General features: G+C 36.5%; 2 long non-coding RNA genes across 2 annotated transcripts in view, besides 1 other annotated feature; one reads left to right on the top strand and one right to left on the bottom strand.

Annotated features, from left to right (window-relative positions):
- LINC02388 (long intergenic non-protein coding RNA 2388) overlaps positions 1-19,460 on the bottom strand; it is a 215,758-nt gene that overhangs the window by 138,201 nt on the left and 58,097 nt on the right. The gene's annotated exons all lie outside the window — the stretch shown is intronic.
- The window catches only part of LOC100506869 (uncharacterized), a 220,968-nt gene that overhangs the window by 112,458 nt on the left and 89,050 nt on the right, over positions 1-19,460 (top strand). The gene's annotated exons all lie outside the window — the stretch shown is intronic.
- Positions 14,558-14,727: an enhancer, noted in NCBI's record as "experimental_30091 CRE fragment used in MPRA reporter constructs". NCBI's record gives its function as "activates a minimal promoter by MPRAs in K562 erythroleukemia cells, with activity observed for both the introgressed and non-introgressed 12:59112584 variant alleles {active_cell/tissue: K562}" and the evidence as "EXISTENCE:reporter gene assay evidence [ECO:0000049][PMID:34662402]".

Consider the following 19,460-nt stretch of genomic DNA (forward strand, 5'->3'; position numbering starts at 1 on the left):
TGCATTTTCAGAGAAGCAGGGAAGTTCTATAAATGCCTTTCAAATAAAACAAGAACACTTTTGAACTTTAAAAATAAAAATCAGATTGCCATCACGGAATTGACTAAAATAAAATTCACATTTAGATTGAAAGACAATTACAGCTCAGCTTGTTTTTTTAATTTTTAATTTTTAGTTTTATTTTTTTAATTGTACGTTAAGTTCTAGGGCACATGTACACAACGTGTAGGTTTGTTACATAAGTATACATGTGCCATGTTGGTTTGCTGCACCCATTAACTCGTCATTTACATTAGGTATTTCTCCCAATGCTATCCCTCTGCCATTGCCCCACCCCATGACAAGCCCCGGTATGTGATGTTTCCCACCCTGTGTCCAAGTGTTCTCATTGTTCAGTTCCCACCTATAAGTGAGAACATGCGGTGTTTGGTTTTCTGTCCTTGCGATAGTTTGCTCAGAATTATGGTTTCCAGCTTCATCCATGTTGCTACAAAGGACATGAACTCTTCCTTTTTTATGGCTGCATAGTATTTCATAGTGTATATGTGCCACATTTTCTTAATCCATTCTATCATTGATGGACATTTGGGTTGGTTCCAAGTCTGCTATTGTGAATAGTGCTGCAATAAACATACATGTGCATGTGTCTTTATAGTAGAATGATTTATAATCATCTGGGTATTTACCCAGTAATGGTATGGCTGGGTCAAATGGTACTTCTAATTCTAGATCCTTGAGGAATCACCACACTGTCTTCCACAAAGGTTGAACTACTTTATATTCCCACCAACAGTGTAAAAGCATTTCTGTTACTCCACATCCTCTCCAGCACCTGTTGTTTCCTGACTTTTAAAGATTGCCATTCTAACTGTGTGAGATGGTATCTCATTGTGGTTTTGATTTGCATTTCTCTGATAACCAGTGATGATGAGCATTTTTTCATGTGTCTGTTGGCTGTATAAATGTCTTCTTTTGAAAAGTGTCTGTTCAAATCCTTTGCCCACTTTTTGATGGGGTTGTTTGATTTTTTTCTTGTGAATTTTTTAAGTTCTTTGTAGATTCTGGATATCAGCCCTTTGTCAGATGGGTAGATTGCAAAAATTTTCTCCCATTCTGTAAGTCGCCTGTTTACTCTGACGGTAGTTTCTTTTTCTGTGTAGAAGCTCTTTAGTTTAATTAGATCCCATTTGTCTATTTAGGCTTTTGTTACCATTGCTTTTGGTGTTTTAGTCCTGAAGTCCTTACCCATGCCTATGGCCTGAATGGTATTGCCTAGGTTTTCTTCTAGGGTTTTTATGGTTTTAGGTCTAACATTTAAGTCTTTAATCCATCTTGAATTAATTTTTGTATAAGGTGTAAGGAAGGGATCCAGTTTCATCTTTCTACATATGGCTAGCCAGTTTTCCCAGCACCATTTATTAAATAGGGAATCCTTTCCCCATTTCTTGTTTTTGTCAGGTTTGTCAAAGATCAGATAGTTGTAGATGTGTGGTGTTATTTCTGAGGGCTCTGTTCTGTTCCATTGGTCTAGTTCTCTGTTTTGGTACCAGTACCATGCTGTTTTGGTTACTGTCGCCTTGTAGTATAGTTTGAAGTCAGGTAGCGTGATGCCTCCAGCTTTGTTCTTTTGGCTTATGATTATCTTGGCAATGCAGGCTTTTTTTGTGGTGCCATATGAACTTTAAAGTAGCTTTTTTTCCAATTCTGTGAAGAAAGTCATTGGGAGCTTAATGGGGATGGCATTGAATCTATAAATTACCTTGGGCAGTATGGCCATTTTCACGATATTGATTCTTCCTATCCATGAGCATGGAATGTTCTTCCATTTGTTTGTGTCCTCTTTTATTTTGTTGACCAGTGGTTTGTAGTTCTCCTTGAAGAGGTCCTTCACATCCCTTGTAAGTTGTATTCCTAGGTATTTTGTTCTCTTTGTAGCAGTTGTGAATGGGAGTTCACTCATGATTTGGCTCTCTGTTTGTCTGTTATTGGTGTATAAGAATGCTTGAGATTTTTGCACATTGATTTTATATCCTGAGACTTTGCTGAAGTTGCTTATCAGCTTAAGGAGATTTTGGGCTGATACGATGGGGTTTTCTAAATATACAATCATGTCATCTGCAAACAGGGACAATTTGACTTCCCCTTTTCCTAATTGAATATCCTTTATTTCTTTCTCTTGCTTGATTGCCCTGGCCAGAACTTCCAACACTATGTTGAATAGGAGTGGTGAGAGAGGGCATCCCTGTCTTGTGCCAGTTTTTGAAGAGAATCCTTCCTGTTTTTGCCCATTCAGTATGATGCTGGCTGTGGGTTTGTCAAAGATAGCTCTTATTATTTTGAGATATGTTCCATCAATACCTAGTTTTTTGAGAGTTTTTAACATGATGGGCTGTTGAATTTTGTTGAAGGCCTTTTCTGAGAGATAATCCTGTGGTTTTTGTCGTTGGTTCTGTTTATGTGATGGATTACGTTTACTGATTTGCGTATGTTGAACTAGCTTTGCATCGCAGGGTAAAGCTGACTTGATCTTGGTGGATAAGCTTTTTGATGTGTTGCTGGATTCGGTTCGCCAGCATTTTATTGAGGATTTTCACATAGATGTTCATCAAGGATATTGGTCTAAAATTCTCTTTTTTTGTTGTGTCTCTGTTAGGCTTTGGTATCAGGATGATGCGGGCCTCATAAAATGAGTTAGGGAGGATTCCCTCTTCTTATATTGATTGGAATAGTTTCAGAAGGAATGGTACCAGCTCCTGTTTGTACCTCTGGTAGAATTTGGCTGTGAATCCGTCTGGTCCTGGACTTTTTTTGGTTGGTAGGCTATTAATTATTGCCTCAATTTCAGAGCCTGTTATTGGTCTATTCAGAGATTCAACTTCTTCCTGGTTTAGTCTTGGGAGGGTGTATGTATCCAGGAATTTATCCATTTCTTCTAGATTTTCTAGTTTATTTGCATAGAGGTGTTTATAGTATTCTCTGATGGTAGTTTGTATTTCTGTGGGATCAGTGGTGATATCCCCTTTATCATTTTTTATTGCATCTATTTGATTCTTCTCTCTTTTCTTCTTTATTAGTCTTGCCAGCGGTCTATCAATTTTGTTGACCATTTCAAAAAACCAACTCCTGGATTCATTGATGTTTTGAAGGGTTTTTTGTGTCTCTATCTCCTTCAGTTCTGCTCTGATCTTAATTATTTCTTGCCTTCTGCTAGCTTTTGAATTTGTTTCTTCTTGCTTCTCTAGTTCTTTTAATTGTGATGTTAGGGTGTTGATTTTAGATCTTTCCTACTTTCTCTTATGGGCGTTTAGTGCTATAAATTTCCCTCTACACACTGCTTTAAATGTGTCGGAGAGATTCTGGTACGTTCTGTCTTTGTTCTCATTGGTTTCAAAGAACATCTTTCTGCCTTCATTTTGTTATGTACCCAGTAGTCATTCAGGAGCACGTTGTTCAGTTTCCTTGTAGTTGTGCGGTTTTGAGTGAGTTTCTTAATCTTGAGTTCTAATTTGATTGCACTGTGGTCTGAGAGACAGTTTGTTATGATTTCTATTCTTTTCCATTTGCTGAGGAGTGCTTTACTTCTAACTATGTGGTCAATTTTGGAATAAGTGTGATGTAGTGCTGAGAAGAATGTATTTTCTGTTGATTTGGGGTGGAGAGTTCTGTAGATGTCTATTAGGTCTGCTTGGTGCAGAGCTGAGTTCAAGTCCTGGATATCCTTGTTAACCTTCTGTCTCATTGATCTGTCTAATATTGATAGTGGGGTGTTAAAATCTCCCATTATTATTGTGTGGGAGTCTAAGTCTCTTTGTATGTCTCTCAGGACTTGCTTTATGAATCTGGGTGCTCCTGTATTGGGTGCAAATATATTTAGTATAGTTAGCTCTTCTTGTTGAATTGATCCCTTTACTGTTATGTAATGGTCTTCTTTGTCTCTTTTGATCTTTGTTGGTTTGAAGTCTATTTTATCAGAGAGGAGGATGGCAACCCCTGCTTTTTTTTTTTTTTTTTTTTTTTTTTTTTTTTTTTGCTTTCCATTTGCTTGGTAGATCTTCCTCCATCCCTTTATTTTGAGCCTATGTGTGTCTCTGCAAGTGAGATGGGTCTCCTGAATACAGCACACCGATGGGTCTTGATTCTTTATCCAATTTGCCAGTCTGTGTCTTTTAATTAGGGCATTTAGCCCATTTACATTTAAGGTTAATATTGTTATATGTGAAGTTGATCCTGTTATTATGACGTTAGCTGGTTATTTTGCCCATTAGTTGATGCAGTTTCTTCTTAGCCTTGATGGTCTTTACAATTTGGCATGTTTTTGCAGTGGCTGGTACCAGTTGTTCCTTTCCATGTTTAGTGCTTCCTTCAGGAGCTCTTGTAAGGCAGGCCTGGTGGTGACAAAATCTCTCAGCATTAGCTTGTCTGTAAAGGATTTTATTTCTCCTTCACTTATGAAGCTTAGTTTGGCTGGATATGAAATTCTGGGTTGAAAATTCTTTTCTTAAAGCATGTTGAATACTGGCCCCCAATCTATTCTGGCTTGTAGGGTTTCTGCCGAGAGATCCACTGTTAGTCTGATGGGATTCCCTTTGTGGGTAACCTAACCTTTCTCTCTGGCTGCCCTTAGCATTTTTTCCTTCATTTCAACCTTGGTGAATCTGACAATTATGTGTCTTGGGGTTGCTTTTCTCGGGGAGTATCTTTGTGGTGATCTCTGTATTTCCTGAATTTGAATATTGGCCTGCCTTGCTAGGTTGGAGAAGGTGTCCTGGATAATATCCTGAAGAGTGTTTTCCAACTTGGTTCCATTCTCCCCGTCACTTTCAGATACACCAATCAGATGTAGATTTTTTCTTTTCACATATTCCCATATTTCTTGGAGGCTTTGTTCATTTCTTTTCACTCTTTTTTCTCTAAATTTTTCTTCTCACTTCATTTCATTAATTTGATCTTCAATCACTGATACCCTTTCTTCCACTTGATCGAATTGGCTACTGAAGCTTGTGCATGCATCACATAGTTCTCTTGCCATGGTTTTCAGCTCCATCATGTCATTTAAGGTCTTCTCTACACTGCTTATTCTAGTTAGCTGTTCATCTAATCTTTTTTCAAGGTTTTTAGCCTCCTTGTGATGGGTTGGAACATCTTCCTTTAGCTCAGAGAAGTTTATTACCGACTTTCTGAGACCTACTTCTGTCAACTCATCAAAGTCATTCTCTGTCCTGCTTTGTTCCATTGCTGGCAAGGAGCTGCGATCCTTTGGAGGAGAAGGGGCATTCTGGTTTTTAGAGTTTTCAGCTTTCTGCTCTGGTTTCTCCCCATCTTTGTGGTTGTATCTACCTTTGGACTTTGATGATTGTGACCTACAGGTGGCGTTTGTTGTGGATATCCTTTTTGTTGATGTTGATACTATTCCTTTCTGTTTGTTAGTTTTCCTTCTAACAGTCAGGTCCCTCAGCTGCAGGTCTGTTGGAGTTTGCTGGAGGTCCACTCTAGACCCTGTTTGCCTGGGTATCATCAGCAGAAGCTGTAAAACAGCAAATATTGCAGAACAGCAAATATTACTGCCTGATCCTTCCTCTGGAAGCTTTGTCTCACAGGGACACCTGGCTATATGGGGTGTCAGTTGGCCCCTACTGTGAGGTGCCTCCAAGTTAGGCTACACGGGGGTCAGGGACCCACTTGAGGAGGCAGTCTGTCCATTCTCAGAGCTCAAACAGCATGCTGGGAGAACTGCTGCTCTCTTCAGAGCTGTCACACAGGGATGTTTAAGTCTGCAGAAGTTTCTGCTGCCTTTTGTTCAGCTATGCCCTATCCCCAGAGGTGGAGACTACAGAGGTAGGTGGGCCTCATTGAGCTGTGGTGGGCTCCTCCCAATTTGAGATTCCCTGGCTGCTTTGTTTACCTACTCAAGCCTCAGCAATGGCAGACAGCCCTCCCCCAGCCAGTCTTGCTGCCTTGCAGTTTGATCTCAGACTAGCAGTGTGAAAGGCTCCATGGGCATGGGACCTGCTGAGCCAGGCATGGGATATAATCTCCTGGTGTGCCATTTGCTAAGACTGTTGGAAAACTGCAGTGTTTAGGTGGCAGTGTCCCGATTTTCCCGGTACAGTCTGTCATGGCTTCCCTTGGCTAGGAAAGGGAAATCCCCCAACCCCTTGCACTTTCCAGGTGAGGCAATGCCCCGCCCTGCTTTGGCTCACCCTCCATGGGCTGCACCCACCTTCCGACCAGTCTCAATGAGATGAACCATGTACCTCAGTTGGAAATGCAGAAATCAACTGTCTTCTGCATCTATCAAGCTTGGAGCTACAGACCGGAACTGTTCCTATTTGGCCATCTTGGGAAAGCAATCAATACAGCAGTATATTCATGTCAAATGTAAAACTATGGTTCTATTATATATGCATGGCAGGTTCAATGTATCTTTAATAAATCTAATATAATTAAATTACCATAAAGTGTTATATCCCATCACTACATACAGTTTGAAAAAATTTAGAGATTCTGAAATCAGTTTGATGATTTCATGTAAAACAATAGGCTGAAATATAACTTTTCCTCTACTTTCTCTCTTCTGGTTTGCTACCTATCATGTGCTTGAAACTTAACTCTGTTTTCATTTATTTCTTTTGTCTGTGGTTCCTGCTTTTGTTTGTTAGTTTTATTTGGTTATTTGTTTAGAAAACTGTAGTTTTTCTATGGCAAAGGAATCTATATAATTTTATCAAAATGTGTGAAATATTCATGGATGTGACTGAACTTTCTGCAGAATAATATCTGATACTACTGGAACAATTTGTACTGGAGCCTTAGAAAACATGGATGCACTGCAGACTATGTATGGTTAAAAAAATATTTTTACTTGGTACAGAGTGTCAGTGTTAGGGTAGTCATTTCACCACTGTTCTTTATGGCCCTTGGAATCATAAAACTGATTTGTCAGACATTCTGGATATCTTCAGACAATATGAGATAATGGAAGAAACTCTTGGCTCAAAGACAGAAGATAAGGCTTTTATCCTACTTCTGCCATGTTAGTTAGTTATTTGTAAGCAAACCAAGAATAGGAGGAGTTGATTACCTTTAAAAATAGTGCACTTATTAAGAAAAAAGAAAACAGAAGAAGTGCTGCTCTTATTAGAATCATATTTAATTTTCACTAGCCATTGGCAAGATGGATGATGGTAAAATGCACTTTTTAATTGCAAAAAGATAATATCTAATATTAAAACAATATTTGAATGCTGACTATAAGCTCTCCTCTGAGCACCATCTGAATTTCTTTATGTAGTACTTACCACAAGACATGGTAGAAACTTCATTTGTTAACTCATTCAATCATTAACACATTCTCTCATTTAATTTAAAGTCCTTACATTGGCCTATGAGGTTACACATGACCTGTCCCTTATCTCTTCTGCTTCTCTCTCCCTTGTTCACTCTGATCCAGGCCCAGGAGGTTATTTGCTGTCACTCAGATGTGCCAGGCACACTCCTGACTTACTTCTTTTGTGCTAGTTGTTTTCTCTTCCTGGGGTTTTTCTCCCCCAGGTGTCTTTTAGGCTGACTTCCTTACCTTCTTTGAGTCCTTGCTCAAATGTCACCTTCTCAAGGACACCTATTCTGGCACCTCAATTAATACTGCTGATTTCCTTCTTTCATCACCCACCTTCTTGATTTTCCCTATTTTCCCTTACCCTGCTCTACTTTTATCCCCTGTAGCATATCAGCCTTTAGCACACTGTGCAGTTTATTTCATTATTATGTTTAGATTGTCTTTCCCTCTCTCTTCCAAACTTCGTGGAACATGGAGATTTTTGTCTATTTTCTTCCTTGATACAAGCGCCTAGGATAATGTCTGATCCATAGAAGACACTCACATATTTGTAAAATGATTCAATTTAGCAAATAGGTATTAAGTGTCTGCTCTGTTTCAGGATTTGTGCTTACTACTGGGAATAAAATGAAGAACAAGACACAATCTCTAACCCACAAAAGTTTATGTGGTATAATTCCCAGGACACTCACCACAGATTCTGATTCATTTGATCTTGGATGGAATCTAGTCGTTTGCAACTCTGCCAGACACACCAGAGGTTTCAGATGTACCCTGTCCTCACCACGTCCTCCCAGCAAGCAGGGGAGCTGTCTTGTCATGGGATCTTTGACACTTAATACGAAGCCTGAAACATACTGGGCATTGAATAAATAAAATGGATTGAAGGTACTTTCTATCTTCCAGAAACACATAAAAACATTGACCAAATTTGTACCAGACAATTATTTATTTATTTTTCTAAAAGCACTTCTAACATAATAGAAATGAATTTTCTATACATAGAACAGTTAACTGAGAAAAGAAAGACATGTGCATATGGAGATTCAGAGGAGGGAACAAACCTCCAAAATATTCCACTAAGATTTCCACTGCTCTGATCTTGAAAGCTATATCTTGAGAGTAATATCAATGTTATCTTTAGGTATTACTTAAAATTCAATAAATGTAATGATTAGTACACGTGGAAAAAAGGATGGCTTTTTTGGTAGCATTTCACATTTATGAGGGGGCTGGGGCAGTGCTGGTGATACTGGATTTGCAAGTGATCAATGGGCAGTGCTGGTGATACTGGATTTGCAAGTGGTCAATGGGCAGGCTATTGTTATGAAATTCACAGAATACATACGTGTCACGACCAGATTCACATCTCTCCAAGATAAATCTGCATATGAAACTCACATGGATTGACTGACAGTGAATGCTTAAATTATCAAAAGCTGAGTACTCAAAATTTTCTCCTTGTCATTTGATACCTGGGCCAGGAATTGCATTGATTGGCTCCAAAGGGACTTGGACTATAGTTTGGAAAGGGAAAGGTTTCATGCATCACAATAAAGTTTGAGCATAACACAACTTGTCATAGGATGTAATTCAGAATAAAGCCTGTGTTTATTATTGGGAGTAGCAGAAAAGCCTTGTCATAGAGTGCAGAGTCTTTTATAATATGGTTGATAAACATAGTATGCTGCCTGCTAAAGGCCAAGATTCCAGAAGAATGATATTATAAGCCAGACTCTGAGACATATAACCATTCTCAAATAGAGAGTTGAAATAAGTAAAGCTTATTTTTTTGGACCCGACTCTTTTCTTTTTCTATATATATCCTCCTCTATTTATTCTTTTCATACCTCAGCCATCCAGTACTCTCATTTCACTCTCCTTTCACTCTCCTTTTCTTTTAATAAATCCTTATTTTCTGGAAAGAGGTTTATATCAATAAATTATGCCTGAGAATAAGTTTGTTAATGGTTGCTTATCCCAAGCATAATCTACCTCAAGTGCATTTGACTTGTACTTATCTCTAATTGTGAAATCAGTGTTTTCAAACAAAAATTTCAAGATCAGGGGTTGAGAATGTTGTGTTTTGAAGAGTATGGAAGAGTCGATTATTTAATACCTATCATGTGTCAGGCCTTGTGCTAGATATTTGGTCTTCATTATCCAATTTAATTATCTTGAAGAATTCTATGAGGTGGGTAGGGTAATATGCTTTTTTCTTTTTTTTTTTTTTTTAACAGATGAGGAAACTGAGAGTTAAGGAGGTCAATGTACTTACCAAAGTTCATGGGTTTTAACCCATGAACTGATTTCAGAGACTTCTGAGCTCCTGCCTTTCTATATTCCACACCGCTACAGAGACACAAATATGTGGGTAGCATATATTGATAAGACTTGGAAAAGAAAGCAAGAATTAAAGAGGAAAGTAAACACAAGGAAAGGTGTTACTCAACTGTACCCATCTTTAGCTAAAGTTATGAAGTCAGTTTTTAGATCATTTGAAAACATTTACTCTCCATAACACAGTCAAAAGGGTGTCTAGAATTTATGGTGGGAAAATAAATATTTATCATGTATTAAGTGCCAACTCTAAATATTTACCATGTATTAAGTATATGATAGAGCCTGAGTTGGCCCTATAATATACTATCTCTAATCCTGATAACAAGAATTACATTATTATCTCCATTTTGTCTTTCCAACTCACTGATTCCTTCTTCAGCTATATCCATCTTAGTCTTTACCCCACCTATTGTGGACTTTATTTCAACCATTATATGTGGGATAACTAACATTTCCTCTTTGTTCATTTTTATAGTCACTTGTTTTTCTCATATCGCTAATACTTTCTTTTATTTCTTTCAATACACTTGTTTTTGTTGTTTTAAAGTTTTGGTTGGTTTGTTCCAATACTTGTGTTTCAGATAGTATATGCTATTGAGCTGTTGGATTTCTTTCAGGTAATTTTCTGCCTTAGGTGTCATTTACTTTAGTTTATTCCTTAGGTTTTTCTGCTTCAGCTGTTGAGTTATTATTTAATTCCTTAGGCAAAAATGCATAAAAATACCTGAGGTTCTCAGTTATTGTAGCAGGTAAGGTGTATTAGGGAAGGGCCAAGATTAAGTTCCAAGTTAAGAGTCTCAGTCACTTTTGGTAACTCATATGTACAGTGATAGTTGTTATAGAAAAACTTTTGATTAAAACAAAAGCTACCACTACAAAGATATAGTTCCTAAAATTAAAACACAAAGCAAAACAAAAATATGACAATACCAAGTGCTGGTAAAAATGCAGAGAATAGGAAATTTTCATAGATTCCTGGATGAAATAAAAGTGGGATAGCCACTTTGTAAAATAGTTTGGCAGTATCTTATCGAGTTAAACATACACTTAACATATGACCTAACAATCTTACTTTTAGGAATTTACCCAAGAGAACTGAAAATGTATTTCACACAAAAATCTGTGTGCAAGTAGTTATAGGAGCTTTCTTAATAATTTTCACCAAGCTAGAAATAACCCAGATAACTTTCAACTAGAAAATGGATAAACAAACTGTGTATGTGAATACAAGGGAATGCTACTAAACAGTACAAAGGAATATACTACTGACACAACATGGACAAACCACAAATAAATTATACCATGTGAAAGAAGCTATACACAAAAGCTACATACTATGTCATTGCATGTATATTTCATTTTTTTTTAAAAAAAGGTTAAAGTATGGTGGTTTCCAGGGGTTGAAGGAGGGAGAAGTGGTGGACTACAAAGGTCAACCTGAGAGAGACGCCAGGTTGATGAAACTGCTCTGGATCTTATCTGTGTTGATAAATACATGAATCTTTGCATTTTTAAGTTTGTAGAAATATATATCAAAAAGAGTGAATTTTTCTGTATATAAGTTAAAAATATAATTTCTTAAAAAAGTAAAATCTAACCTTTTTGATTCTTTTTTATGCTCACTTTTGAGACAAAAAGTGTGGTTTAAAAATATCTTGAAATAGTTTGTGTTTTAAATTTAAGAAACAGTCTTGTGGTTCAGTCACAAAGTCACACCTGAACTAGTTTCCTTTTTTTTTAAAATTATACTTTAAGTTTACGGTACAAGTGCACAACGTGCAGGTTTGTTACATATATATACATGTGCCATGTTGGTGTGCTGCACCCATCAACTTGTCATTTACATTAGGTATATCTCCTAATGCTATCCCTCCCCCATGCCCCCCACCCCACAACAGGACCTGAACTATTTTCATTAGATTTATTTAAAATATTTAATAAGCAGTGGAGTTTGAAGAAAAATGTTTCCAGCTTTATTATTTTTATGTTGTGCCAAACTTTGCTTCCACCTGGGTGTGTATATGTGTTTTAAGATCACTTTGTTTTCTTAACAAGGTCTTTTGGAGGAGAAAAATTTTTAGTTCCATTAATGGATTGCCCCCTTCTCTTAGCTTATTAAACTTGATGAAGATAAATGATTTCAAATGCAGGTGGCCACCCAAAAAAAAAGAAAAAAAAACACCCCACTAAATTGTGAGGTCAATTCCCACCCAGGGTTGACAGGCCCTTTATTCTAAATTATAAGTGGAAAATGCTAAGGTGATCTCATGCTCATAAAGTTGGACCAGTGTTCCCTAACAGGTGTTAAAAAAGAATTGAGACTATTGGAGAACTGTTTAGTATGCACAGATGTTTGAAACTATATTGAGACTCTCAGGCCTCCTTTGCAATAACTTGCTTGAAATGATGGATGTACAAACCAGATTTAGAATTTTGAGTTCTAATAAACATGTTGGAGTGGCCACTCAAATGCACAAAGCTGATCCCTCCCTCATCTCTGTTGTCCTGGTACTTGCATAGCTGTTGATAATTATTAGGTGTCAGTAAATAACTGAGAAGCAAATAAAGCTCTTTGGGTCTAATAAATATGTGACTTTTCATGACTTTTTTGTGCATCTGCTGTAGTATAGATATAATACCTTACATTCCTGTTATATCACAGAACATTGAGAGTAAAAAATAAATTAGTTGTCAATATAAAAATGCAATGAAACAATATGGAAGTTTTATAATACTGAATCTGTAGTGAGAACTCTAACATTATAACTGACTCAGTTCTGGGTTGTCTCATTCTCTGAGTCTTCCATTTTACTTAAATGTATTTTCATAGGTTTGCATAAAGGTGTCCTTACTTTGGATTTCAATGCATCCCACAGGAAAATTGTACAGGATCTGTTTGCAGAGCCATATTGTTTTTCAAAGAAAATGAAATAAAGCATCATCAGATTCGGGGCGCTTTATTTCATAATACTCAAACTTTGCTTGGCAATAGAATCCTTATTTCAACTTGGGTGGGAGGTAAAGAGAGAGAAAACTGTTAAACTTAGGAGAATAATTATTTAGAAATGTCTAAGTCAAAGCATTTCTCCTTGTGGTGACTATTTCTCAACATCCTGATCCACCCAGTGTCTATCCACTATTTGATTTTTCCTTTTGAGGGTAAATTAGCTTATTGCTTCAAATATCCCTAATGCTACAGGCTTAAAAATAAAAATTAAAACAGCAACCAGGGTGTACCTTTGGATGAATCCACTTCAGAGCAAGATGGCTGCCATGCCCACAAGACGTGGTTTGTCATGACTTTGTCCTAGGCTAGTATAGATTGTTGGGTGGCAGTGATGGAAGGAGCTGCTACTTATTATTTACAACCTTCATTAGTCATTAGTAAATGCTGTTGCAGTTCTCTTGTTTGCATAATCTTACCTGGAAAATTAGAAAACCAAGAATTTCTAGATTCAGCTGGGAATAATTGGGACTGGCAATTGGAATATTGTCCTTCTTGAAGGTGATGACAATGACAAAGATGATGATGAAGATGATAGTAATAATTGTCATAGCTTTCTTGAATACTTATTATATGCCAGGCATTTGCTATTGTAATCTATACACTAGATAATTTACATCCCAAATCTGTGCGAGTCAGGTATTAGAATAATTCTCTCCAAACTCCGTAATGCTAGCTTTAGCCAGATCACAGTCACCATCACCATGGCAGCTATAGGCATTTTTCTCCCCAACTCCACTGCACCCATCCAACCTATCCAAATTTAATGTGACAAGGAACCTATAGCCTCAAAAACTGAAGCAAACTGGCACAGGAGCCTTCTTTGGAGAGTCATTCATGCTACAGAGACCATGGAAGTATCCAGGTGGTGCTTAGACACTATAGTTATCTAAAATAATTCTGAAAGATTTGCCAAATAAACCACCTGAACCCCTCTATGCTTCACTCCTCCTGATTCCTCCAGCTCTCTCCTTCCAGACAGGGGAAGTTCTGGAAAGGAGCCTGATGGAGCCACAGGTTTGTCATTCAATACATACGCTATGTTCTACTTCCTCCGTGTCCTCACTAGGTACACATCAGCAGTGGGGGTACTTATTATTATACAAGGCAGGTGCTGACCCTCATGTCAGATCTCTCTAACCCCATAGCAGCCTGTTTTTTCAATCCCCTCTTTTGATGTGAAGCCTAAAGAGACTAAAAGAATACCCAGAATAGGAGAAGGGTTAGGAACTTAGGAAAGAAAAACAGTGATCATGTTCAAAGTCATTATATTTCTTTAAAACAGTGTTCTCTAAAGTAGGAATTCTTACTCTTTTTTATTCTTAGTGTCCAATGAACAGTAAGGACCTTATTACGTGTTTGTTGAATAAAAGGTGCCAGCTCTAAATTAATGGGCCAATTCTGAAGGTTGTGGGTTTTCTGGATATTGACTTTTTTAAGTTGCCAACTTATAGTTATTGTTCCATTATTTAGTGTCGCTCATTGAGTCAAAAAAAAAAAAGTATGAATCCAGCTGGTTTAGGAAATTAATAAAAAATATATTTTCCTACATTATTTGTCTACTTTGTATTTTGAGGGAAAGAATACACAAATAATTCAGAATTTTTGCTTCGAGTTTCCATTTTCAGAAATACTACCTTATGTTTGGTCCAAAAAACATGTTTTTAAGTCAGTGCTTAATGTCATGGTCTGGCAAACAAAGATGAATAAGCCATGGTTCCACCTTCTGTAGGGGTAACTAATCTGATATTTAGTGGGCACCAGTTTGACAGCCGTTTCTGCCCATCTGCCATATTTATACATTTCCTATTCCCTCTTTTAACAAGATGAAAACATGTTGGCCAGGCTGGTTTTGAACTCCTGGCCTCATGATCCGCCCCCATCAGCCTCCCAAAGTGCTGGGATTACAGGCATGAGCCATCACACCTGGCCCCAAATTGGGATTATTAACTGGCCTTTCTACCTTTAATTTTGAAGCCAGAGTAATTTTTCTAAAGCAAAAAATAATTTTATTTTGTCTTAGTTAAAACTTTTCAAGTCTTAACTACCATCCTTCAAATCTCTAAGCCTTCAGGGTAAATGTTCTAATAGATTCTCTCTAGTCCCTTAAGGAACCTCTGTCTTGGCATCTACCGAAATTTATTATTTATTTGTTTGCCTTTCTGTGCAGATAATACCTTATTGAAGGAAGGAATTACACTTTTTATCTTTGTATTCTCAGCACCTTACTGGCATTTAGAAAGTATTTAATATATGTTTGTTGAATGAGAGATGGAATTAATTAAAAAAAAAACATAACATTGTGGACTATGAAAAGTCAGCCAAAGTAGAATACTATTGATATGAGCAGACAATATTGATATATATAAGTGGTAATAGATAAGTCCAGAGTATTTTTGTTTTGACAAGCTTTTCGGAAAATATTTGCTAGGATGTAGGATAGTTTGTGAAGACTGTCTTACACACTGAGTTGAAATATCAGTCATCAGGGAATAGACAAATAGTCTGTGGTTAGACTGAGTATATTCATAGGCTATTCAAAATGCATTGTAAGGCACATGTTGTGCTTATTTTCCTTGAAATAAATTCTAGCATTTTTGAGGCAAGAGTATTGATGGCAAGAGTATTGCTGGCAAATCCTAAGTAGGTTATATCAATTGTGTGGAAAGTTTTAGCTCATAAACTATTTTACCAAATTTTAAATATATCTTTAAAATAGAACGTATTTTTAAAATTTTTCAATTGTTTTAAAACTAATGAACAAATCAAGAGAATAGAATGTTACATAAATAGTATGACTTAGTAGTTGCTTAAATTGTGACTTTTCAAATGTTTGATTTTATAAAAATTTACTTATCTGTTACTAGACAATATTCACACAACTATTATTATTTCAATGTAATCAAAAGCTCAAAGTTCAAATTTAAAAGGATACAAAGAATGTTGAATAAACATTTATTTATTTATTTATTTTTTAGTCTTGCAGAAACTTGGTGAAAATCTGTAGTTGTTTGCAAGGTAGTTGTAAAACCAGCAGCTGGTTCAAAGTTATTTTGAATTTTTTAAAGAGGCTTGGATTAGGGTACTTTTACCATTGAAAAACAACATCAATATACTAAAGCTTACAAAACAAAAAAATCTAATGAAAAGAGTCATGTTTCAATGCCCAATTTGTGTCACTAAGAATCAGACACTGGTTCTAAAGTAATGGGTCAAATCATGTCAGTTTGCTATATTTCAACCATTTTCTCTGATTTATCCAAATGAAATACTCCAGAAGATTTTACTAACTGTAACATAAATTTATGGAGAATTTTCTGGTGAAGATATTTAGTGGAATTTTTCAACTCTGGAAACATTCAAAAGCTGCTAAAAGAAACACAGTATCAAAGTTTCTGAAATTTATAGTGAATCAGAATTTTTATGAATCCCTGCCAAATTTATTATTTCCCATCCATCACTGTCCATTGGTCTCTCTTATCAGTTCAGATCCAATCTTCCCAGAAATAAAAAAGAAGCCCAAGAAAGATTCTTTTATTTTAACTTTATCATCTTCAATATTGACATAACTTTTTATTTTGCACATTTGTTCAGTGTGAAACATTCAGAATGTTACTAGGAGGAAGGAATTTCAGAAGCTGGCTTGAATTGGAAGAAGGCATGCCTCCTGGGGCAAGAAAAAAAGACAAGTCTATGGTCCTCCTCACTTGGACCTCACTTGGTAAATAAGCTAATGATATTCACTAGGAAAAAGAGTTCCTATCAGCAGGATGTCTCTGGCTAAAAGATGACTTATGATAAATAAACCCCATGTGGATTTAATCCATGAGGCATGACTCCCTAGAGAATTTCACCTAAGCTATATAACACATTCTGGGGTATAACATGGAAATATTTTATAAGTTAAATGGTCTTTGCAGTGTGAGGAATCCTACCAAACCTCTTGGGGACCTCATCTGTTGTGCTTGTGTCCATTGTGGAAAAGCCGGACCCATGGAGACCATAAGAGGTTGCGCCCCTCTCTTCTCCAACTGAGCCTCTTGATTGTCTGTATCCTTAAGGCTGTAAAGGTCGATGCTGAGTAAGATCTCTGACTCTTGAGAGTAGAATTTGAAAATTCAATCCCATGCATAAGCTGAGCTGTCAAATAATTCCAACATATTTTGCTTTTTAAATATCCATTACTATTTTTTCTTTGATGTCATTTTTCCGGAAAATGAGTTTTGGAGATAAATATGCAATTAATTCCCCTTCAAAAGGAATAACATATTAAATTTTAACAAACTGTTCCTTCAGAATTGGGTTACAATTTGAGAGTGATTCCAGCAACTCCAAAAATTTTCTGTGTTTGTTGATGGCATATTCTCTCTGTGACCACAGAAGAAAAGGTTTCATGTAACTAAAAACATAATTATGTCAAAAAGATGATGTAAAATGTCTCCCCATTTTCCCGCTCTTTATTCATTTCCACATGCTACATTTTATCAACAATTTTTATTGGAGTTTTAGTACCATTGCTGATGTCTTCCATTTTTCTAAGTAGGAAAAATGTTCAGATGTCTCATGTTCAGAGATTTGAGGATTTAATTTTCACTATGTTTTAAAGCTAGTTATAAAGCTGGCCGTTTCACTTTTTGTCTCATTATCTGCAAATGGTCTGCAGCAGAAAGCAAAGCAAACACGTTTTTGATTTTGAAGAAAGCAATTTCTTAACTTTTTGTCTCCTTTTATTTTTGGTAAAGACTTATAAAACCACAACGTTGTCACATGTTGACTATCTCCTCTGCTATATTTTTCCTTCTCATTGAACTGTAGTGTAGAAAGGTTCACCTTTAATCTGAAGAGGTTTATATCTTCTCTTAATCCAATTAACTCTCAAATCATCTGGAACCAGTACTGGCCATGAAGCAATATCAGAATAAATGAAAAATAACATTGTCTCTTCTGCTTCAAATTCTTGGTCTCAGTCTTTATTATTCCTGTCTATCTATCTATCTATCTACCTACCTATCAATCAATCTATCCTCATTATCTATCATTATCTATCTTCATCATTATCATCTGTCTATCATCTATCTATCCTGTTAATGTTGATTTTTACCAGCATTTTCTTTCTCTTCATTACTGTCAGTGCTTATAGATGATGTTTCAACATTTTCTTTCACTCCTGTGCTATCTGAATTTTGTGTTGTTTCTAGTATAGGTACTTGCATTTTTTCTAGTATAGATACCCATACACATTTGCATTTCTAAAGAATGGTTGTTTACTATACTGTATTAGTCAGGGTTCTGCAGAGGGACAGAACTAATAGGATAGATGTATATGTGAAAGAGTTTATTAAGGAGAACTGACTCCCATGATCACAAGGTGAAGTCCCATGATAGGCTGTCTGCAAGCTGAGGAGCAAGGAAGCCAATGTGGCTTAGTCTGAGTCCTGAAATCTCAAAAGTAGGGAAGCCAATAGCACAGTCTTCAGTCTATGGCCAAAGGCCCGAATGCCCCTGATAAATCACTGGTGTTAAGTCCAAGAGTCCGAAAGCAGAAGAACCTGGAGTCCGATGTTAACCGGCAAGAAGCATCTAGCATGGGAGAAAGATGAAGGCTGGAAGACTCAGCAAGGCAGCTTATTCCACACTCATCCACCTGCTTTTTCTAGCCATGCTGGCAGCTGATTGGATGGTGCCCACCCAGACTGAAGGTGGGTCTGCCTCTCCCAGTCCACTGACTCAAATGTTAATATCCTTTGGCAACACCCTCACAGTCACATCCAGAAACAATACTTTGCAACCTTCAATCCAATCATGTTGACACTTAATATTAACCATCACATATACACAATGTTGAAGGATATAATTATGTTGCAACTACGGTCAGAAGTCTCATTGGCTTTTAGAAAAATAATAAACAATTCCAAGTTCTTATTTTATTTTATAAATAATCATTCTCTAAATCTCTTCAGAAGTCATTCTACTGGAAACATTTCTTCAGGTGTATCATTTTTTAGAACTTTAAGGAAAAATTATTTATTCTTTTTAGGCTCACCTCATTCACCGGAAAATGCTGCAGAATGAAGACATAAGAGTGGAAAGACTTTCCCAGACAAGCTAAAATGCTCATCAGAGAGCTGTGCATGCAGTACAGACACATTTTAAAAGTTAATACCAACTTTGGAAATACTGTGTGATCTAATAGGAAATATGGATTCAAAAAGATCAGCTTATGTATTACTCTCTGATGAATAGGATTTTTCTTTTCTGAGTCCTCTTTTTTATTGTTTGAAATTTTAGATGAAGTTAATCAATCACAAACATCCAGGATCAGACTTGGACAATACACAATGAAATGCCAAGCTTTAGCGTGATTTCTTAAAGATCAGCACCTGGACATTGGGAAGTCAACGATGCAATAAGCAAATGTAAGAAAATGAATGTTTAAATAGAAAAATGAAATCAAATGTGAAAAACAATGCCAGGAAGAATGACAAAAGAGAATGGTCTTTCTTTGTCAGAAGAAATCAAAAGAGCAGCATTTGAATGCCTCAATTGTTTTCACTAAGAATTGGACACTCATTTCTAAAGCAATAATCACATAATGTGAATGTTCATATCTTTTAACTATTTTCTCTAGTTTTTACAGAAAAAAATTGTGGAAATAAAACTTCAGAAGATTTTACTAAATATCGTAGAAATTTATGACAAATGTGGTCATGAAGATAATTAGCAGGAATTTTTTGAGTGTGGAGATATTTGAAAGCTGGTAGGTAGAACTGAAACTTC

This window comes from Homo sapiens, chromosome 12 (assembly GCF_000001405.40).
Source record: "Homo sapiens chromosome 12, GRCh38.p14 Primary Assembly".
In the NCBI taxonomy this organism is placed as follows: domain Eukaryota; kingdom Metazoa; phylum Chordata; class Mammalia; order Primates; family Hominidae; genus Homo; species Homo sapiens.